General features: G+C 40.3%; 2 long non-coding RNA genes across 2 annotated transcripts in view; one reads left to right on the top strand and one right to left on the bottom strand.

The window, feature by feature from the left end:
• LOC112268156 (uncharacterized) overlaps positions 1–23729 on the top strand; it is a 236909-nt gene that overhangs the window by 102518 nt on the left and 110662 nt on the right. The window lies entirely within an intron of this gene.
• The window catches only part of LOC105369212 (uncharacterized), a 45790-nt gene that overhangs the window by 10901 nt on the left and 11160 nt on the right, over positions 1–23729 (bottom strand). Inside the window, exons 5-6 of the long non-coding RNA NR_158193.1 lie at positions 11106–11206; positions 9232–9271 (exon numbers count right to left, since the gene is read on the bottom strand). This is a non-coding gene — a long non-coding RNA (uncharacterized LOC105369212). The remainder of the gene's footprint in view (positions 1–9231; positions 9272–11105; positions 11207–23729) is intronic.

Genomic DNA, 23729 nt, shown 5'->3' on the forward strand with positions numbered 1-23729 from the left:
TTTATTGTTACAAAATAAAGACTTTTTTTCCTGTAGGTTGCCTGTCACTTTTGAAATGGAAAACATGATGAATTATGGCACATTTGCCTTGCTATGCTTTATCAAGCTCATTAGAGATGATGCATGATCTGAACTTTACGGAAGGAAAAAAAAATACATGGACACCCTCTTTCTTATCTTCTCTGTTTACCTCTAAAATCGTTCTGGTTTACTTGTTGCAGAAACTGACCACCTATTAAGGAAAAAAATGGTCTTGTCTGTAAAACACATGGCTTTCCTGTAGAACAGCCCTAAACTTGAGCTGTAAATTCTCAAAGAGTGATATCACCTCCAAACATTTAGCTCAGAATGCTTCATTTTATTTTTCCATTGTCATGCTGTGCAAACAAACAACTTTATGTGTATGTTTAGATATAATGGGAAAGGTTGTTTTTAATTCAATTTTCCAATGAGATAGCCCTATAATGGATGTTTTCAGAAAGAAAACTACAGTCTTACAAAACCAACTTTCATCTATGAATTTAAACAAATTTTATTCTGCTTCAGAATCATAATGGTTTACTGAATATTCCTTTTTAAAGAAAATGTAAAGACTGAGTTTTAAACTGACTTATGCCAAATAAGTCTTAAACAAGTCTTTAAAATCCAAAATTTATTACAGAGATAAAAACCCTATCTTCTTACCTCTCTCTAGAGTACTTTGAAAAATTTGATTTGCACTAAAACCTAAACAGATTCACCATGATGAAGGTCATCAGATAAAAAATGTTTCTCCAAGTTTAATTCAATACTTATCAGCTAGAACAATTCCTTCCTAATCCTTCAGATGTTAAGTGCTATCAAGAAGTAAAATGCAAATGAATATTATTTTAAAATGTTAATACAGAGTTGGAGAAGGCATTTGTCCTCGAAATAAGAAACACGACGACTGAAATAGCAAATATACATATTACCTGAATTTCTTTTTTGTTAATAAATGTTTCATTTCTGGCACTTATGATTGATGAGTTTCCTTGGAAATAGAACACTGAGGCACTTCCGTTAAAAAGACATCAAATTCCAAAACCATGGGGAATTGTGCTACAATTCCTTAACCTCTTGCCTGAGAGAGTCTTCCTGCTGGCCCACGGGTTAATCTCTACTTGTAAAAGTGTTTACAAAAATGGCATATATGTGTTTGCTTCTGTGATTGATCAGTTCAAACACATGAAATTAATATTTTACATGTAAGTGGTGTTTGCCGTTTTACACTGGGTATCACTGGCATCATCTTATTCTCTTCCTTCATTCACCTACGAAATGTTCCATGTCTGGTAGTCTACTGGGTTCTGGAGGGCTGTGTCAACAAGTCAGAGCTCAGCCCTTCCCTGATGGGGATGAGAGTCTGAAGAAAAGATCAGTCTTAATCTAATACCATCTAATCAGATAAAGAATTAAGTTGCTCACGACTGAGATGAGTCTGGTGAAGGAGGCATTCAGGGGCTCTTCAAACATATGTCAGACAAGACCAAACCTAGTGCAGAATGGTAGGGGTGTGGACCCAGCACGACAGAGGATTGGAACCTAGCTCCGGATGTCAGGTGTCAGAAGGCCTCTCTCAGAAAGGTATGCTAAGGTGAATTCAAGGTTTTAAAAGAAAGCCAGTGGGGGCTAAAAAGAAGTCATTACCAAGAGGAGTTATTAAGGAGGAGGCTAGTGAGAGAAACAGGGCCAGATCATGTGCTGCCCTGAAGTCATCGTAAGGATATGTTTGTTTGTTCAAAGACTCACAGAAAGCCACAAAAAAGATTCAGGGAAAGCTTCAACAAAGGAGAGTGACACAACCTGACTTGCCTTTTTTTTTTTGAGACGGAGTTTCACTCTTGTTGCCCAGGCTGGAGCGCATTGGCACGATCTCGGCTCACTGCAACCTCGACCTCCTGGGTTCAAGCAATTCTCCTGCCTCAGCCTCCCGAGTAGCTGGGATTACAGGCATGCGCCACCAAGCCCGGCTAATTTTTTTGTATTTTTAGTAGAGACGGGGTTTCTCCATGTTGGTCAGGCTGGTCTCAAACTCCCGATCTCAGGTGATCCACTCTCCTCGGCCACCCAATGTGCTGGGATTACAGGCGTGAGCCACCGGCCTGGCCTGACTTGCATTTTTTATAGATGATTAACAAAGAAACTCTATGAGGTAGACAAATCAAGTGCAATAAAGCCCATTAAACAACTGTAGAAACTAAGATGCCAAGATTCAGTTCCTTGCCAAAGGAGAGACGTGCAGGAGAGTGGTTGATACATCCACATGCCCATATGCTTGGGGTGCATTCATATGTGTGTGCAGAATTCTATTCTATTTCTATCATGGGTCTCTGTCCGCCACAGCACGCATTCAAAATCAATGCCACACTTTGCATTTCATTCTAATTCCAAGCTGAAAGATGTTAGTTAGGTAGGTTGTGAACCAAAAAACTTAAGAAAATAGTAATTTAACAATGTTTTTCTCTTCAATGTGTGTCTATTGGTTGTCTAAGGAATTCTCTGGATAAGTTATGTTTGCATACTTTAATAAGCATTTTGGCTCAAGGACTAGAATAACATTTAAATAGTAGCAACACTATCCATTCTAAAAAGCAGGCTAAATAGACTATTAGAACCACATTATACTCCCCACATAAAATAACTTATTATATACCAAACCTTAACTACAAGTACCTATTCTAGCATTGAAGTAGTATAAACAGGAGATCTGAGAAAAATACGGCTTATGATAGTCTGCTCAGTTATGACAAGTGAGCAAACACCACTTGAAGGAAGAAAGTCAGCCATGGTTTATAGGAAAATAGAAGAAGGCTTCTCTCTGCTGCTCTCGCTTTGGTTCTTCCCATTCTCTGACCCATATGCTGGGTAAGAGGCTAGATCTACTCATTGTTTCCCCAGGACTTGGTGTACAAAGTGTTTCTCCACCTCTAGAAACAAGAAGGAAACATTTGGGCCTGGCATTTGTTCTTGCAGAGAAGGAAGAATGAAGAAGTTACAGCAGGAACATCTCATTTTTGCGAGGTGGAATGAGTGAGATCAACAGAGCATGATGATGCTTGGAGTGGTTCTAGAACAGCTGTCAATGTCTACCTTGTATTACAAACTTCATCAAAAGTGCTTTGGCAAAATTAATTGGCTAAAGATTCAGCAGTATACGGAAGCCAGAACATCTACAGCTACGTTTGCAGGACGACTGGTTTGAGTATACCACACTGAAGCTGGATTACTCCAGGAAGTGTGTTAAGCACGGCACAGAGTAAAAGAGAAAGGTCCACCACCAGGTTGGCCCTGTGGGCTTCCTGGGTTTTAAGGTGGCATTGTTTAGTAGGCAGTTGGATAAAAGAACTCAAAGCTCAAGGGAAAAGACGCTAGACAAATAAACAGATTTCAAAGCAGCAAAAGGGTATAAGAGGAGGAGACCCGAGCGCCAAAGGCCAGGCCTCGGAAATAGTAACTCCTCTCACACTGATTGCCTCCTTCTCTGTTTTGCTTTTGCATCAAACTGTGCATCATCTCATCTGATTCTAACTCCTCCTTACACAACCCTTATCTTGCCCGTTAAACTATTAGATCCTTGAGGTCAGGAGAGTATAACATAATGTTCTGATATCCTATTGTTCACCCAAAATAGAAGCCAGGAATTGAGGGAACTATCTAAATTCTACCACCAAATCTCAACCCAATCGAACACTACTAATTTAAACATTTCATTACACACAGAGATTAATCTGTTTTGGTTTCTTGGCTGAACTGCCCAAATCATTGTTTACTTCTTAAAGTGGGTGGGGTCAGTCATTCTTCGTGGAGTTGGGTAGGGCAATGAGAGAGTAGAGGCGACATTGAGAATTTCACTCGGGTGCTTCAGAATTCAGGTTCCCAAATACAAGGAACCAGTTGGGTGAAACTGTATTTTCCAAGACACAATGAATCATACACATGTGAAAAAACCCTTTGGAAGGGAGGACCCCCACATGCGCGTCTTTCCTCCATCACCTTGTAGAACGTACACAACCTTCTGCGTTTGATGCCAAAATGCACTTTTAGTCATGCTTACAGTTCCAAAAAAAAAAATTGTATTTACTGGGCCAGTTTCAAGTTCTGGTTATATGTGTTCCTTTAATCATTCTCTTTCTGTTAAAATCTAAGGAATTGTCTTAATATGTATGTCCAAGATGAGATCAAAATCTTTGCAAAGCTAACGAAGTTTACTTTAAGGCAGAACAAGAGAAATTGATGAGAATGTCTAACATGTGACGTTTAAGATAGTTGATAATTTGGAGGGACTTAGAAGACTTTACAGGTATATGATTAAAGAATACATTTCATTTAACCATAGTCAATTGCATTTCATAGACATTGTAGTTTACTTGATAATGCAACCTAATTTTTTAAGATATTATTCTTCAATTCACTTGAAAAAATTTTGCATCTGATATAAATATATAGATTTCTCTGATTAAATCAAATATGATGAGACAGTTAAATTCTGTGCCAAAAATATCATAGGGTATTATACCTTTGCTATTTAGAAAAAAATAAATGTTTCCAATTTGAAAAAAGAACTTGCTGTAAATTCTTGAAATTTGAAAGTGGCTTTCACGTCTGGACTCTCAGTGGGGCACTTGGTGTGCTTCCCTGAATTCTGCCTACGTTGGTGAATTGGTACAACCATTCCTTTAACAAATCTGCTTTGAAACACAGAAGAAGCCTGCTGTTTAAAACCTGGTGAAAGGTGATTGCAAGCCTTAAAATAAAAAAGCCTAGTTTCATTTTTTTTTTTTAAGACAAGACCCTTCTCAGTTTGACTGAAATACAGTAAGCAGGACAGAGAGACTATCTCTTGTAATTGTCAGCAGATTGGCAATCTGACATAGAATTCTGGCAAACCTGTACTTAATTGCTAAAATATGACTTCCTAGCAGCTACAAGTATGTTCTGGCAATGTCAAGTTATCCCCAACCACATGACTTGACTTCTGCTTTAGAATTAAAATTGAAGATTTATCCCAGGTTGAAGCTGCTCCTTGCACATTCTGCAAGAACTCTATAGACTGTAGACAGGAAAACGGGATATCGTTAAAGTATTGCAGTGCCCCAGGGGTCAATGTCAGATACAATCTAATTTAACATCTTTATTAAGGATCTCAAAGAGAGAGTAAGCCACATATTAATGAAATGTGCAAATGATATTAAACTGGGAGCTGGTGTAACCACCAGTAAGGACAAAGAAATAATAGAAACGCACCAAAAGAGGTTAAAACTATGAGCAGAAAATTATTATATGAAAATCACCTTCTTGGGATTGATGGTTTTGGAGATGAGCGCTGGGAGTCAGAAATCTCAAAGTTTGGGGGCTGCATCCAATTGGGAACCAAAAGGAAAGAAAAGAGGGCAACCCTTAGCCAGCATCTAATTTAGACACCAACGCAAACACTTTACATTACATTATGTAAGTTTATACAATCTTTAAAATCAGAAAGATCATCAACTGTAAAAATTTAGGCACAGGACAACTCAAATGTAGTAGCTTAACTAGCCACAACACAGATAGCTATTAAAAATGACTAGTACTGAACAATATTGACATGCAGAATATATGAACTAGCATGCAGTAAAACAAAAGGCAGAGCATAAGGTGTGTGCATGCTGATACCACTTCAAATACATGGATGCTCATTAGACAAGATCCAGAGGGATCCACCCAGAAGCCAAAGTTTTCAAATATACATTAATTTGGAAAAAGAGAAAAATGTGTCTTTAAAAAAAATAAAAAGAAAAAACAGTGAAGCTCTGATTCCTTAGCTTTTTCTATTTCCCCATGTCTCCCTATTCCTCACACCCCCCAGAAAAGTTGAAACAACGCTAAAATGACTCTTCCAAACCTATAACTAAAATAAAATGCCCTTAAGGCAACATCTGACAACCTTCTGGGATTCAGGTAGGAGTCCCCTGACTGCCTATAACTTCTTGAAACCATTCCATCTTCTTTTACCTCCTCCACTTCTACTCCTATGCCAATACCCTTGGCCATCCCTTAGATACTCAGGCATATTGACCAGAAACTTTAAACAAGAAAACGCCTTGCATTTTAGAGCTCCTGCCTTTTACCCTGTGAGTTCTTCAAAGGACTGGTCTTCGTTGAACTACACACTATGACATACACAAAGCACGGGGCTAGAATGGCAGACCTGGTGTGCAAGCATAGCATCCCTGGAATCTTTGATTTCACCCCTCTATATTTAGTGCCTACTTAATAAAAAGTGGCTTTCACTTGTTTTCTAATTCCTGCCATGACCCCTTACCTCCTTTCAGGATCCAGGAAAATAAGTAAAGAATGAAAATTCCCTAAAGTCTCAGATAGACCAAGAAGGAACCTGTTGACCTACCAAGGAACCCACCACAGTAGCCTCTAGTTGCAAATAATCTATTCTTCCCTAATTTAAAGTATTATCAGAATAAAGAATGAAGTCAGTGGAAGAAAACCGTCTTTTTTTTTTTTTTTTTTTTTTGACGGAGTCTTGCTCTGTCACCCAGGCTGGAGTGCAATGGTGTGATCTTGGCTCACTGCAACCTCCACCTCCCGGGTTCAAATGATTCTCCTGCCTCAGCTTCCTGAGTAGCTGGGATTACAGGCACCTGCCACCATGCCCAGCTAATTTTTATATTTTTAGTAGAGACGGGGTTTCACCATGTTGGCCAGGCTGGTCTCAAACTCCTGACCTCGTGATCCACCCACCTCGGCCTCCCAAAGTGCTGGGATTACAGGCGTGAGGCATCACGCCCGGCCAACAGCAGCTCCTTTTAAACAGCAAGACTTTAGTAGCAGACGATCGAAAATGCAGATACAAGTAGATCCAATGAATCTACGATATTGATGTTCTAAAGTAGTAGAAAAATCAGCTTTATTCATGCTTTACACAAAGAACCTCAAACCAACACCACACAACAGTAGGGTTAATGCTCTCTGTGTCAGAATGATTCGAATATATCAGTGGGTGACCAGAAAGTCATGGCACACAAAGGGCACAAAGGAAAGATTATAGACCCCAAGTAAGGATAGCAACTAATAGGGGTGAACATGCTGGAAACCTACAAAGGATGCTTTTGCCAATGAGGAAGAAGTATTTTAAGTATACTAGAAGGAATTACTAGAAATATGCGAATAAAATTCAAGAAGACAAGTGGGCTAAAGCTAAAGAATTTTCTTATAGTATAGCTTTTTTTTTTTTTTTTGAGACGGAGTCTTGCTCTGTTGCCCAGGCTGGAGTGCAGTGGCACAATCTCGGCTTACCACAACCTCCACCTCTGAGGTTCAAACAATTCTCCTGCCTCAGCTGTGCCACCATGCCTGGCTAATTATTTTTTTTGCATTTTTAGTAGAGATGGGGTTTCACTATGTTGGCCAGGCTGGTCTCGAATTCCTGACCTCGTGATCCGCCCGCCTTGGCCTCCCAAAGTGCTGGGATTACAGGCGTGAGCCACTGCCCCCGGCCTCTAGTATAGCTTTTTTATGGACTGAAGATGCCTAAGTACATACTGAAAAACAGCTCTGTTAATGATCCCTAAGAAACTGGGTTAGAATACACTTCACAGGAAGTCTAGCATTCCCTTTCGTTGGTTACCTGAGTTCATTTACAAGGTAGGATTTCCATGTAATCTCCCCACCATGTCAGGCCCAGTGAACTTCACTCTACCCCAAGCAAAACTCTTTCCAAAGTTAGGAAAATGTTTCCAAAAGTTATTTTGTTTTCTTAGATACTTTAGCTTTTCTTAAGGTATAATTAGAAAACACATCAGAAGTCCAACTATAGAAATTATTGTGAAATATTTTCTCCTGTGATAAAATAGAATTTTTTCTCCCTAGAGGAAAGTCAGTTCAGCTTACCTGTCTATGTCTTCTTCCAAATGTATATGAAGTAAAAATTGCTAATGCCACAATATGTGGGAAAATGTTTAATGCCTGCTCCATGTCAGCCCTTCTTCTAGGTGATGGGAATGCAGAAAAAAATATCAGTCCTATTTCCTACCCCTTCTCACCATTAAAAAGCTTGCTATTAGGTGAGAGATACTAACCAATAAACAGTTTCATATTGTAGGCTATATTTAAGCAGTAGGATTAATAATACCAGTACATCTTCCAGGAACGCCATCAAGAATAAATTACTTGATTTTCAAATATTAAAATACAAGTTTTGTAAATGGAAATATGTGATGTTTTTCAAAGAACAAAATAGTAACTTTCAAAGAGCAGCAGAAAAGACTCATGGCAAATATATTGTTCCCCTCTTGAGGGCACATGGGAGGATTGTAATTCTTTGTCTCCTTGAAATTAGGCATGATAATGTGACTTGCAGCTGGGCACAGTGGCTCATGCCTGTAAATCCCAGCACTTTGGGAGGCTGAGGCAGGCAGATCAGCTGAGGTCAAGAGTTCGAGACCAGCCTGGCCAACATGGTGAAACCCAATTTCTACTAAAAATACAAAAAAATTAGACAGGCATGGTGGCACACACCTGTAGTCCCAGCTACTTGGGAGGCTGAGGCAGGAGAATCACTTGAACCGAGGAGGGGGAGGTTGTAGTGAGCTGAGATCACACCACTGCTCTCCAGCCTGCATGACAGATCGAGACTCAATATTAAAAATAATAATAATAAAAAAGTGACTTGCTTTAGTCAATGAAATGTGCATAGAAATGAGGAGTGGAACTTCTCAGAAGCTTTTAACTGCCATTGTTTGAATTCCCTCTTTTACTGCTTTGGCAATCACTAAAGTGCATATTGATAGGAAGGTGAATTTCAGATCAACCACCTATAAGATAGCATGCTGGAGAGACATTCAGATCTACAATGAACTTTGCATGAGCCAGAATTAGACCTTTCTTGTTAGTCACTGATACTTAGGGATGTTTATTACTGTAGCACAATCTTGCCTATCCTAACTGATTCACTCAGCAAACTCAATGACAAAGATAATGTACTCTTTATAAAGCAACTGTGGCTAAAAAAAAAAAACGGCTAAATGAGTTCATTGCCAGGTAATCAAGATGCATTTACTGTATGTCCACAAGGTGCAGAATAGCTTAACCAGCCATGTGTCAGGATTTATTTCATAGAATATTGTGACTTTTCCCAGCTCATTATTATCCATGAATAATGAAGACAAAGAGATCTGGTACTGAGTAGCTGTCATTCTGAGGACCAAGTGCACCTACCTCTTCAACAGGTGGCCTGTGGGCTTGCAGCCATCCATACCTGAAAAACATTTTGAGAACCTCTAATGTAGGCAAAGTGATTTGAATATTTTCTCTGTCAGACACTTAACAGAGATTTTGACAAGAAAAAAAATACAAGTGATCAAGAAATCATTCTTAAAATGGACTCCATAGTTACAATCATGGGTAAGAAATAAAAATAAATATGTCTAATCACAGACTAGTTTATCACGTGAAATAAAAATGAATACTTTTGCATTGAAGATCATTCTCACGTATCTAATGTGGAGAGATACTTAACAAATAATATAACAAAGGCTTACTTTCTATTATAATAAGTAATTGATGTAGACTCAACCATTTTGCCTGATGGATTTCAGGGCAGAAGAATGACAATTGCTCACTGTACCATCACTGAAAAGCTGAATTATAGATATTTTTTTTTAATTTGTATGCTTCTTGAATTGAGAAAATGGACTATCCATGAAAGACCATTGTTGTCACTGTTTTCACGAAGTGCCACATGCAGAATTTCAAAACAACACTGGAGCTCCAGCTCATAAAACTGTTGAGAAGAATCACTCAGTGACTGGTCTGGACTTTGAGTCAGAGACCTGTCTTCCTGGTTTCTGGTCTCACGTCTCTTCCACATCCAAACCTGCTACTATTCGGCTACCAGAGCTAATGGTTTAAATATAATGCTGACCTCATTCCTTCTACTTGAACAAGCTCCAATGCTTCTCAATCGCCTTGTGCATAAAGTTCAAATTTCTTAGCCTACTCCCCCGTCTAAAAAACCCTTTGCTCCCACTATGCCAAGTGGATCTCACTCCCTACATTTATCACGGTCCTTCCTTCTCTAATCGGAGGCAAGTTTCTTCAACTTCTTTTTCTCTATTTGTGAACTCATTGCTCAAGAGAAAGTTCACTCATATGATATCTCTTTAGTAAAACTAAGATTTCTTGTTTCTTTTCGCCTACTTTAGATGCATGTTTGTTTCTATCAACCCATTGTATTATATGATTGCTATATTTTATTATAATGATTTATGCACATGTTCAACCGGACTAAATCTCTTCAAAGAGAGTGTATTTCATTTAACTTTGTATCACATCCTCTTTTATCCAATAGCTCAAGTGTCAGACATATAATCATGGGTAAATATTGGTGGATGAGGGAACAAACAAATGAATGAATCAGATCTGAATTCAACTGATGATTTTATCAGTGACCTACTGTGTAACCTTGGCCAGGTCAGTTTGCCTCTCTGTGCCCCAGATTGCTGATATGAGAATGGGGGGATATAATTACTACCTGCCATAGAGGGATGCTGCGAGTATTAATGAAATAATTTTATAAAGCAGTTTGAGCTCCCTAGAAGAAAGGCACTATGTAAGAACAAAGTGTTATTGTAATTATTATGTAGCACCTTTCATCTGAGAATCTCAAAGCACTTCACCAAACATTGACTCATTAATCTTCCCAACTCTCCTGCAAGAGAATTAAATTACCTCCATTTTAAGAACGGGGGAAATGCAGACAGCAAAAGGTTAAATGCCCAGCCCATGATACCATCCCCGTTGAATGCCAAAGCCAAGAGCGAGCTGCAGGACTCCGGCTCAAAGGAGACTCCTAGTTCAAAGGAGACAGCTCTTTGAAACTTGAGGCACTGTAACTTCCACCTTTTCCCTATACAGAGAAAATCATTGAGCAGCCTTGGTGGATGGCAACGATCCAGTTGGAATGATGGCCCATGGTAATACCTTCCACAGAAGAAGGGGTGGGATGGGGCAGCAAGGTGATGACCACAATCCTTCCCTCAACTGTAGCAGTGGGAAGAAAATGTAAGCAATGCCTGCAATCAATCGCTTACCCTCCTCCGATGGCTGTGGCTCAAGTCCTTTCATCGGCCCTCTTTTAACTTGACACCTTTCTAGGATATCTCTGTCTCTCAGCCAGAAAATGTCTCATCACCTTTCAATACAAAGGTAGCAGTTTAGCAACCAAAGAAATAATCCTAAAATACTGCATTCAAAGAAGCTTTCCCCTCATAATACTGTTTTTCCTGCTGAATCCCATGAACGTTAGCTGAGACAGGTGGTACTAATCCACCTTCTAAGAGGAAAAGGAAGAATGTTAGCTATTCTCCATATACTGGGGGTAGGGGGGAGGCGTATTTTGGATTAAGATGTGTTACATCAGGAACTTCTAGCAAAGTGGAGCCATTACTAGTCATAGCTAACCAGAGAAGCAACATTTGTGCTTTTCTTACAGATGTTAAGTTCATACTTCCTGGAGGTTGTGGTCAAGATTACTGGCCCAATCATGTGTGTGAATCTGTTACAAATATACATAGCATGTGTGCCTCCAGGACCCGGATGTAACAAGACTGTATCCCAAAGCCAAGTGAATTCAATATTCCTCATTCCAGCACAGCATCCACTTCTCTTTTTTTCTTTCTTTCTTTTCTTTTTCTTTTTTTTTTTTTTTTTGACAGAGTCTTGTTCTGTCACCAGGCTGAAGTGCAGTGGCACAATCTCAGCTCACTGCAACCTCCACCTCTTGGGTTCAAGTGACTCTCATCCCTCACCCTCCCAAGTAGCTGGGATTATAGGCATGCACCACCACACCAAGCTAATTTTTGTACTTTTAGTAGAGATGGGGTTTCACCATGTTGGCCAGTATGGTCTTGAACTGCTGACCTTGTGATCCAGCCGCCTCAGCCTCCCATAGTGCTGGGATTATAGGCATGAGCCACCGTGCCTGGACCACAGCACGCATTTCTAAGGGAAACATTAATTTCATCTTGATTTTAAATCTGGAAGAGCAGAGTTTGTTAATTATGATAAGCTTCATGCTGACAGAAGGGAGTCCCTCGAATCCCTTCTGTACTTGTGACCAGTTTCTCCACTCTGTTTATTAACAAGCCCACCTCCCTGAAGTTAGTTACTCACAAACTGTGTCACTGTAAAGATCTTAGGCTCCTGGTCTACTCTTCCTGGCCACTGTCTTTCTTACCTTTCTTACTTCCTCATACCTCCTTGAAAGCCACCCATAGTTATGGAAAGAGAATGGGCTTTGGAACCAAACCAATCTGACAGTTAATCCTAGCACCCACCACTTTCTGTTCTGTGACTTTGCGCAAGCTCCTGAACTTCTCTGAGCCTTCTTTTGTAGCCTACAAAATAAGAACTACAATTCTACTTTGCAGGCATTTGAGACATGGAGCACACACAGAGTTCTCAACAAAGATAAGGGCCCTTGGCTGACAGGAACCTCCAAACGCGAAGTGGAAGATGGAGTTTACATTCATACAGCAAGCACTAGAAGATGCGGTATACTCACAGTGCCAGGAGTGCCATTCCAGAAGATGTCCCAGAAACAGAGACTAGGCCTGGGTAAGGCCTTGACAATGGAAATGCAACAGATGAAACTAAGCAGGGTCCATGAGCGAGGAGCACAGGCCAAGGTCAAAGCCTAAACTGGCAGGCAGTAATTTCCAGGAAGGTCTGGAAAGTAAGGGGCAGAAAATCGCCACGGGGACCAGAGTTTTACAATCACAATCTCTGGAGGAAAGTGAGATATGGTAGGGAAGTCAAAGAAGTAGGGGATTGGGTTGAGAATTAGGCTAGAACTTCAGCAAGAACGTCTGTCTCAGGGTGATTCCAAGCAATCAAAGAATGTACATGAAGAACCATCTCCAGGGAGCTCACTTCTCCCCCGAGCTCAACCTCTCAACTACAGGTTCCACAGTTCTGGGCCCCCTTGGGTTTGCACTTTGCTCTTCTTCCACCATCTTGTCTTGTATAGACTTGTATATTGAAGCTGAACTGTTCATCTATATCTGACTCCAAAGTCTCATTTAGATACTAAACTAGTATGTGCTCTCCGGCACCAAAGATACTGTGTTGTGTGGTCACTCGAGTTCCCAGGTCACTACTGAGCACTTCCCCAGTCACCTGCCACTCCATATGGAGAAGAGTATCAGACACGAATAGACAAAAATGGGAATTAATTACTGGAACTCCAGCAAACTACTTCACCAAGAAGAAGAGGAGGCAAAAAGGCAGTACACAGAAAATTGCTTCCATTCCTCCTTGACAAGAGATAGAATTGCAGATTCAGGGGAGGGGTGACCCTACACATGGGAGCTAAGTCTCTACTGTGGAGCCTGGCCAGTAATTACCCCATCTGCTAGCCACCTGACACTCCACTGGTGATCTCTCCTAGTCTCGTGGTTTTAGATACTACCACTGAACAGATGACTTCCCACCTGTTCATCCCTCATCTCTAGCTTTTCTCTAGAGCTACAGGCCCACATTTTAGAAGGCTGTCAGGCATGCACACCTAAATATCTCATGGACATCTCAAATCCATTATAGTGTTCTCCATATCTATTAGTAACAACAAATATTTCCTACATACCAAGTTCAAGATGATGCTTTGACTTTCCAAGTTGGGGATTGAATAAGCTCACAGCCAGACCTCAGGGTCAGTGTCTTAACTGTGCATTAACAGTGCTGGAAGGAGAATTCTTTACCCCAGAGACACTTCTGCAATACATGCAATAAGGACCGACACTTTCACTCAAAGATTAGGTGAAGCAAGACTTCTGTGGTGTCCAGTCCCATGCATCTGGACAATGTGCCCAAGGCATCCCCTGCACACAGAAAGTGAATTAGACACGCCCGAATAAAGCAGACGCAGCTAGCTGAGTTAGCTCTAGGACAACATTAAATGGGTTTCAAAAATTGACCATCATACCCACGTTCTAGCTACTGAAAAGAAATGGAAGATTCTAAATTAGCTGAGCCCAGTTGCAGATAAGGAAAGAATAGTGTTAGTAAAGACGGTAGCTTTTGCATCTACTATCCACATATCCCCCGCAGGGTCCACCACATGTTAAGTAATTAAATATTTACTGAATGAAAGAATGTATCTTTGATTTTAGATCTAGCCTTTACTTCTCTGGGGTATTTTGTTACTTGTAAGATCTCGCTTTCTAGTTAGTTCCTCCCCAAACCTCCCCCAACCATCTAGAATTCTACGGAGCACTTGACTTTCCAAGTGCATTTCACCCAGTGACCTAGCATGGTGAACCGGTCAGTATAGTGTAAGCACTTACTTCAACCATGAGTTCTACAGGGCACCTCGTTCCTCAACACAGAAATTAGAATAACCCCAGGTGAATCAGGTCAAATCTATCCTGGAGTTTGTCTACAGAGAATGGTAACAATAAGCACTTCCATGTATCCAGTCTTTGCGATGGGCCAGGCTCTGTGCTAAGCCCTTCACAGACTCTAATCTTCACTCAACAAGCAGGAACACCATATAATCCCCCCTTTTTTGTGGAGGGGCTAATCACACAATGAATTATGGTGGAGTGGGACTCTAAACACAGGTCCATCAGCTCCCCAAGTGGAGCTCCTCCTACCATGCAACTCACCCCCATACCAAGGGGATATCTGCAACTATTTGAGCCCCCTTGGATGTGCACCTTGGTGGAATCTTTGCCAGTTTTTCCCAAAGTTCTCCAAAATTTTATTTCCAGTTCAGGCTCAGCAGGAAATACATTTTCCATTGCCATCCACAAACACTGTAAGTAGAAATTGAAAGTCTGCAGCACCAGAAAGGGTATTAGAAGGAGTCTTCCTTGTCCAGACAGAGGGACTCAATGAAAAAAAACAAACAAACATAGTTTTTAACTTTTGAATTGCTTTCTTAAACACTAAATATACTCAACCAGAATGAGCACCTCAAAATAAAGAAGTCTCCATAGCACAGATTTGGAGACTCAAGATGTCATTTAAAATTAAGACGTTTCTGAATGAAATGACTCTTCTAGTAAGTTATGTCTGAACATGACCACTGGAATTTCAGAATTGACTATAGGGAGATAAAAAATGTAAATGAGCTTTGCCTGGAGGATTCCAGGCCATGGGTTTTTCTGGAGAGCATGATAGGAAGTTGAACTAGCTATGGTTTCATCCCAAATAAATTAACCTTGCATCAAGGGCCAAACTTCTTATTAACGTCATAAAGTGCCCCCAGATGTTTCTGCAACTCAACCATTTCCAGAGTGTGATTTTACTCAAGAAAAAAAAGAAAGTACTATAACATTCCCCTTTAGCCAAGCATGGCTAATCTAATGAGCAGGTTCTTCAACACCGCTCTTTTTAGATTGACAACTTTCTTTCCAAAATTGAGAAAAAGAACAATTATTTGAGCATCCAGACCCTGCAGTGCTTCCGCATTCAACACATTGTATTGGCCTTTGAAATCCTCACCTTCACTTAGGGATAATTTTAGTTAGTCCATGGCTGTGGCCTGTTACAAACTGGGCTTCACAGCAGGAGGCAAGTGCTAGGTGAGTGAGCGAAGCTTCATCTGTATTTACAGCTACTCCCCATTGCTCACGTTACCACCTGAGTTTCACCTCCTGCCACATCAGCAGCAGCATCAGATTCTCATAGGAGCACGAACTCTATTGAGAACTGTGCATGTGAGAGATCTAGGTTGCACACACCTCATGAGAACCTAATGTCTGATGATCTGTCACTGTCTCCCATCACCCCCAGATGGGACCGTCTGGTTGCAGGAGAACAAGCTCAGGGCTCCTACTGATTCACTGATTCTACATTATGGTGAGTTGAATAAGTATTTCATTACATATTACAATGTAACAATAATAGAATAAAGTGCACAATAAATGTAATGTGCTTGAATCATCCTGAAACCATCCCCCTCACCCCAAGTCCGTGGAAAAATTGTCTTCCACGAAACCAGTTCCTGGTGTCAAAAAGGTTGGGGGCTGCTGCCCTAGATGGCTCAGTATTAGTCACAGCTTCTATCCCATCCAGAAGATGCAAATCCAGGTTATCTTCAGCAGGATGGCTGGTAGGTGCCTGAAAGGGAAGGGCTGCTGTTGCTTGCCTGACTTTCAAAGTTTAGAGTTAGAGCTTTAATTTCTAGACAGGCCTAGATAGTTGCTACAGCCACTCACCGATGCAGGTGTCACTACATAAGACTGGAATTATGCCAAGAGGTAGGAATACTCCATACCCAGGGCCAAAAGAGGCCTGCTACATGGGGCAGGAAGTGGGGAAAGGCAGCCAAATCTTAGCTCACACTAGACGTTGGAAAGTCCAGATTGCAAAGTCAGCTGGAACTGAAGACTCTAGTGTAGGCTGTGCTTCTGTGCAACACAGAGCCTGGAGGTGGTAAGAGCTTTTCATCTGTTGGATCTCATACCATCACATGCATGGCAACTACTTGTTTGTATTCCCTGCTAAAATATATCAAGGGCAGAGAATGAATCCGTTTGCTTCACCAGCATGTCCTAAATAAATAGGATAGTACCCACTAAATGGTAGGTGCACAAAATAGTTTTTGAACATTAGATGTCAAACGACCCTTGACTTGGTGTGTCTTCCAGACAATATTCATTCATTCTACAAGTTTATTAAGTTGTATTAACGTATTAAGTTGCCTTCTCTGTGCCAGGGCCAGCACCAGTGGGTAAGGCTCAATAACATGTGGATTCTAATGAGGAGGCCAGACTTTGTCTTCAAGATTTCACTGCAGATCAAGTTGTCCAGGCTTTATGTTAGTGGGCTCAGCTTTAAGATGCAGAGAGGGAGAGGGAGGAGAGAGCCTTCAGTTCATGGGCAGGGAAAGTGGTAACGCAAGGAGGAAGACACAGGGGCTGCGCACCCAGGGGAGCAGCACAGTCCTAGAACAGCCTCTCCGAGGACAGCCTCTCCCTACTCCTTGCTTTGGTTTTCTTCCTGGATCTGCAGGTGGAAAGACAGTGGTCGACAGGTGTGCTGGTTCTTCAGCGAGGTGGGGCTCCACAGGTGTTTCAATTTCTTGATTGCAGCTCCAGCAGAGAGCTGGGTCCTTGGGAAGTTCTTGCAGCCCTGACAGTTGAGTCCTTCTGGTTACTGGGCCACTTCCATGGCAAGGAGACAGCTGTTCCTTTGTTGTCCTTGGCCTCACAGGTCAAGGCCCCCATCAGGGAGGACCACACCAACCCTGGCACTGCAAGTCTTCAGTTTACTCTCATGTCATCATTTATTAGTTAGTGGCCTTAGGAGAACCTCTGAATCTCTTCTCTGAGGCTCCTTTCTTCATCTATCCAATGCGGAGAGTGATTTCTGCTCTTCCTTGCCTCCAAAACTTCTTAAGGATAAAAAGACCCACGGAGATCTTAGATAAGAATAAGATAGAACAGGATAGGTAAGGGAGAGAATTATGTGCATAAAATAATTTTCTTCCCAATTTTCTTCTCAAAATGAACTTGGTGTTGAAAATGGTAACTATAATATATAAACTTAAAAGGATATAATTGATTCTTTTGTGTACTCATTCAGCAAATCATTAGGTACTTATTATGTATCTGTCCTGTAATTTCTTAAACAGGACCCCCTCCGCCTGATGTTTTTTGAAGCTTTCTTGTCACACATGACATTTTTCCAAGTGAGGCACTCAAGGGAATGGCCCAATTTGTATAAAATCACTTATCAGGAGTGACATAGATTGGAGATTTGCAACTTCACTAGTAAAATGGGTACCAAAGTGAGCAACCATCATTTCTTCTTTCTGCTCTATCAACTTAATTTTAAAACTATGAGGTTGCTACATATAGCTTTCAATGAAATAAAGCATTTAATAAAAATATATATATAACTGACCCTACATCAGTGGTTCTCAAAGTGTGGTCGCAGGACTGGCAGCATCAGTATCACCTGAGCACTAGTTAGAAATGCAGATTCTCAGGCCACCCCAAGCCTGCCAATTCAGATTCTGGGACTGGACGCAGCAACCTGTGTTTTCATAAGCGTCTGCTACACCAATGCTGCAAAGCTTGCTGAAGCTTCTGGGATGCATCGGAAGCAAACAGGGAAGAGGAGGCAAGGAGAAAACCTCTTAGTGTGAAGCCGATTATCTCAAGATGGATGAAACAGGTTTCATTTCTTGTCCTATAACTAGGAAATCTTTCATAATTACTTAGAAGTATTTTACACACCACCTCAGATAAAATACTTTTGATTGTCAAAAGACTATATGGCCATTATGTTTTCTGTCTCCTAGAATTAATGTGGTACCAAACATTCTGATAGTGCCTGACTGAGAGGGGAAAGAAGTAACTATTTGAAAACTAAAATTTCTTTCTTTGCATCTCTCCTTAAGTCAGAGATAGTCCAAAGCATTTTCATCTGAAGTTTCATATTACTATTTTTAATGAGGAAACAGAAAGTGCAGGAGATGATTTTTTAAATAGAAACGTCGTTACTTCCAAGTTCTTTATTCAAAAGTAACCTATATTTGATGGTATTCTCATTTTTATGGTTTTGCAAATATTGTGAGTAATCATCTCAAATAATAAACGTTTTAGCTTTGGAAACACATAATAAATAGAATGTCCTAAATTCTTAAGTATAGATTTCAATAATGAACAGCCCCCACAAACTCCTATCAAAGCCAAAAATCAAGCTAAGTTATCTAAAATTTTTGCACTTTAAATACAAAAACACCATACAGACCTTTTTAAATGAAATACTTTCTCTTTACAATAGCCTACATGGCCAAGAAATCACACCCAGAAGTACTGCTCAGTATCCATCGTGCTGGATACAGACCCCGGGGTCCAGATGTCAGAATGTGCTCAGGCACTGCTGCTTGGTTTGATCAGAACTTCCCAAAATATTCATCCTAATGTTGTTCTGAGGTCCTCATGTTGTTTTATTATTTATTAGAACCCTCTAGAGGGACAACTTTTCATTATTTTATATATATCATGATCCGTTAATATGCCTCTTACCCTATTGTGTTCACATTTAAGAACACAGAGGTCCTCAAGTTGTTTTATTTATTTATTTCTTGGAAACCTCTAGACGGATAACTGTTCATTATTTTATATATATCATGATTCATTAATATGGCTCTTCCCCTACTGTATTCACATTTAAGAATATAGCGCTAAATAGATGCACAGGCAAAATCAACAGGTGCCAGTATCTCTGATTCAACAGGTGTTAATGTGAAAATAATGATGGCTACAAATTTAACAGCTGGTGCTATGCCAGCTTTTTTTCTTCCTTCATGTGAATATAAACAGATCTGTGCTATGTATAGATTCACATCTCATCAGATGAGGTCTATGTCAAACTGTCCTTCTCATCTATAAACATTTATTCACAATCTTGGATTATAATAAGTTTTTCACTTCACCTTTCCTAATCCCCATTCACCATTTCTTTATCAATATCAATCTTGAAAATGATGGCCCATATCATATCTTGAAAATGTTGGCCCAGATGGCTGAAGAGTAAATATTTTAGCACATTTGGATGCTAATTTAGCTAAATAGTGACCAGTAGTTCTAATATGCAGTTCCCTTAGTTTGTTGTTGCTGAAGAAGGATTCTATAAAATAGAATAGGTCCTGAAATACAATTTTGTTTTCAATGGCATTCACCAAATTTTTATTTCTCCTGTACTATAGGCAATACCATATTTCCTTCTGTCTCTATTAACATTGTAGCTAACGATTCATTACCGGGGGTAGCTAAAGGGTCAGTTAACTTAGTCCTCTGGATTTCATTGAGAAATTAACGGAGAACTGTAGGACTTAACTGAGAAAATTAACATAAGGGGTTCTTTTCATAAGGCATCTGAGAAACGAAAGCTTGCTGTCAGCTTGGGTCTTCCGTCAGTCGGCACTTTCTGTCTCATATAAACTAGTATGAGACTGTAAACTAGCCTAAGAATTTTATGTGTCTCTTACTTATGAGGGGAAAAAAAAGATAATATTATGCACTGGGTTGACCAGTTGTTTCTTTCAATTGACTGAAATAATCAGGTGTTCTGAAATCACATTATCTGATTTGTCTAGAAATACAGGCAACGTGATCTTAGAAACCACAGACACCAGTAGACCTAGAAAAGTAATCTCATAAAGCTTGCTTAAAACAATTGAAGTATCTGATAAATTTCATATACAAAAAAGATAAATATGCCTTAGTACAACAACTGAATTATGAGAATATAAAGTTGTGAAAATATTACAATCATCTGATTGTCAAATGTGGATTAGTGAAATAAAATATAGTCAGCCATAAAATGAAATACTAAACATATTCACCTTAATTGTTATACTATACACGACATGGAAAGAGATCTGTACTATATTTAAGTTAAAAAGCAGACTATACTACCATATTTCAATATGACTGAATATTTCATTAAAATATATGTGTGGTGTGTTTACGCATGATCTCTAAAAGGTTAAAAGAGGTCATTAAATGTATTTAGGTCATATTTCCTTTTCTTCTCTTGTCTTTTTTTTTTTTTTCCTCTTGGAGAGTGATTCTCACTCTGTCACCCAGGCGGGAGTGCAGTAGCACGACCATAGCTCACTGCATCCTCAAACTCCCGGGCTCAAGTCAACCTCCCACCTCAGCCTTCCCAGTAGTTGGGAGAACTATGAGTCTACAAGTGTGTGCCACCATACCGTGCCTGGCTAATTTTTCTTTTTTTTTTCTTTTTCTTTCATTTTCTTCTTTTTTTTTCTTTTTGAGACAGCGTCTCACTTTGTTGCCCAGGCTGGTCTCAAACTCTGATGCTCAACTGAACTTCCCGTCTCGGCCTTCCAATGTGCTTGGATTGCACACATGAGCCACTGCACCTGGCCTATATTTTCTTCTTAATCATTTTATTGTTTTAATTATTTCTTCACTGATTATGTATCACTATATAACAATAATAAAGCAATACATATCATTTGAATACATACTTCAAAAAAAATTTTTTTCCTCCTGAGTAGCTGGAACCATAGGCATTTGCCATGTGCCAACATGCCTCGCTGTTTTTTTGTTTTGTTTTGTTTTTCTGGTAGAGACTGGCTTTCTGTATGTTGCCCAGGCTGGTCTTAAACTCCTGGGATCATGGGATCCTCTCACTTCAGCATCCCAAAGTGCTGGGATTACAGGCATGAGCCACTGTGCCCAGCTAGTTTTATATTTTTAATGAGGTACATTTATTGGGACATGGTTGCAGAAAAGTCCAAAATGTTTGACAAAGCCAAAGAAAATATTCCTAAGAGTAGTCTTTAAGTGGATCTGTTGTTTCTCAGGAAGCAAGCTTCATGTGTGAGGAACTCCCCATTATTTGGCAAAGTTTGCTGTATGTTATTCTTATAATGTTTGCTGCTCCTCTCTCTTGGCATCAAAGATTATTGTAGTTTTCAGGGTGTTTTCCCCATCGCTTCTTGCTCTTCTTTAATGGAATGTCAGCACTTCTGGCTATGGAATTGTAACTGCTGCATAAATGAAAGGTAGTCCTCAATTTGTGGACAGCATTAAGTCCTAAATGTTTGTTACTAAGTTGGTGATTTCCATCTCAGAATGCATTTTCCCATAAAAACCATTATCCACTTTCACTGTGTTCCAAAACCTGTAACCCATATATACTTGGAGACTATCATTGTTCTAATGGGAAAGATCAATGGACGCTTAGCCAGCATATGTAATGGGTGTTCAGTGGATTGGCTTGGGCAGCTAGATATGAGATTCTCCTCTGGCACTTTTCCTTCCCCACTTTTCTCCCCCTGTTTATAATAAACAATTGGGAGGGTGGCCTCCTGGTCCCTGGCAGCAACTTCACCAATCAGGGCAGGGCAGGGGCTAGGGAAGGAACAATGGGAAGAGGCTGGCTGGCTGGGACAGTGTCCACAAAGGTGAACCATCCAGGCAAAGAGCAGGGCTCTGAGGGTCAAAGTGAAGCTCTTATGGCTGAGCCTCAAGGGGCATGTCTTGATTCTGGAACAAAAGCTAGGAGTCTGATTCCTAACTCAGCCGATCAGCAGCTGGGTGACTGGATGCCTCAGCTTCCTGGGGCCCACCATAAAGTGAACTGCAGCCGCCCAGCTGGCTTTCTCTTGCTCTTTCAACTTGAACTTGGCACAGAGCTAGCTTTTGATTTTCTCAGGATTATCACTCTTCACAAGAAAGACGATGACAACAACAATCATAGTGCCCAATTATATTTACCTACAGTTCTGTAGATTAGATTACAAGGTGTTTTATAGTCATAAACTCATTTGTCCTAGAAACTCACAGGAGTTATGTAAATTTCCTGATTTTTCTTGTCAATTTTAAGAATAACAACATCACAGAAGTATAAACTGTAAAATTTACTACGGGTCTTTGTGTCTTCAATAATCCATTTCCATTGCAAAGCACCTTCAGACTTTTTGGTGGCATTTTATCTGAGGACATGGGGTTCTGCGGAGCAGACTGGAGTGGAGGAGGAAAAAAAAGCATCACTGATGCCTCTGTGATGCCTTCAGGGCTGGGAGTGAGAAGAAAGACGAAAGAGAAGGAGAACAGGAAGCATTCCTAGAGTTAAGCCTCCTCCTTTCTATGGGGCAGACTTCTCAGAATCAAAGATCCAATGGAAAGAACAGAAGAAGGAAGGTAGAAAAAAGGTCTTTTGACCACCTATGTTCAGGTGGCCTTTCAGTATATAAAGGAATATGCAAATTGCATATGTAAGGGAGAGTTTTTGCAGTGCTAAACCACAGCAGGGCAGCTTCCACTCCACACTGCAAACATCTCCCTGGGGTTGGTCAGAAATATTTCCCCACTTCATAGAGACCTACCACGGCTTAGCCACTGACTCTAGACACTGCTGTGTATCCAAGCTGCAAGTCTCTCATTAGTCATGTAGAAAATATGTTGACTAAAATCACACATTTGCTCTTATCATGCAGTGATACCATTTATTATGGTAATACTCCCAGCACTTAAAGAATCGGGGTCAATCTTCATTTTTTCTAAGAAATGGAACTCCAAATCATTATGTGTACATGTGGCCACAGATTCACGGGCACATGTGGAATGGGGATATGCTCCGGAAGGCTCAATTAAGACAACTGGTGTATTTGTTTAAAGCATGCAACAAAGATGGAAAACAAAGTGACAGAAACAGGTTGAAAAGCTGCCTCAAATTTCTACCTCTTCATCCTTCTTTGTACTTAAACATTGAGTGCACCACTTTGGTTACATCTAAAATATGGGAAAGCAAAAAAAAAAAAAAAAAAATTCATCTGAATTATCCTAGACCAGTTTCTCAAGATGTAATTAGAAGTTCACACCTGTAATCCTAGCATTTTGGGAGGCTGAGAGGAGTGAATCACTTGAGGTCAGGAGTTCAAGACCAGCTGGGCCAACATGGTGAAACCCCATCTCTACTTAAAAATACAAAAAATTAGCTGGTAAGCACTTGTAGTCCCAGCTACTCAGGAGGCTGAAGCAGGAGAATCACTGAAACCCGGGAGGTGGAGGTTGCAGTGAGCGGAGATTGTGCCACTGCACCTCCAGCCAGGGTGACATGGGGAAATGCCGTCTCAAAAAAAAAAAAAAAAGAATGGACTGCAATGCTTGCAAATAATACCTGGGCTCCACCTCAAACCTTCTGGGTCAGAATCTCTCTCA

This window comes from Homo sapiens, chromosome 15 (assembly GCF_000001405.40).
Source record: "Homo sapiens chromosome 15, GRCh38.p14 Primary Assembly".
Taxonomy (NCBI): domain Eukaryota; kingdom Metazoa; phylum Chordata; class Mammalia; order Primates; family Hominidae; genus Homo; species Homo sapiens.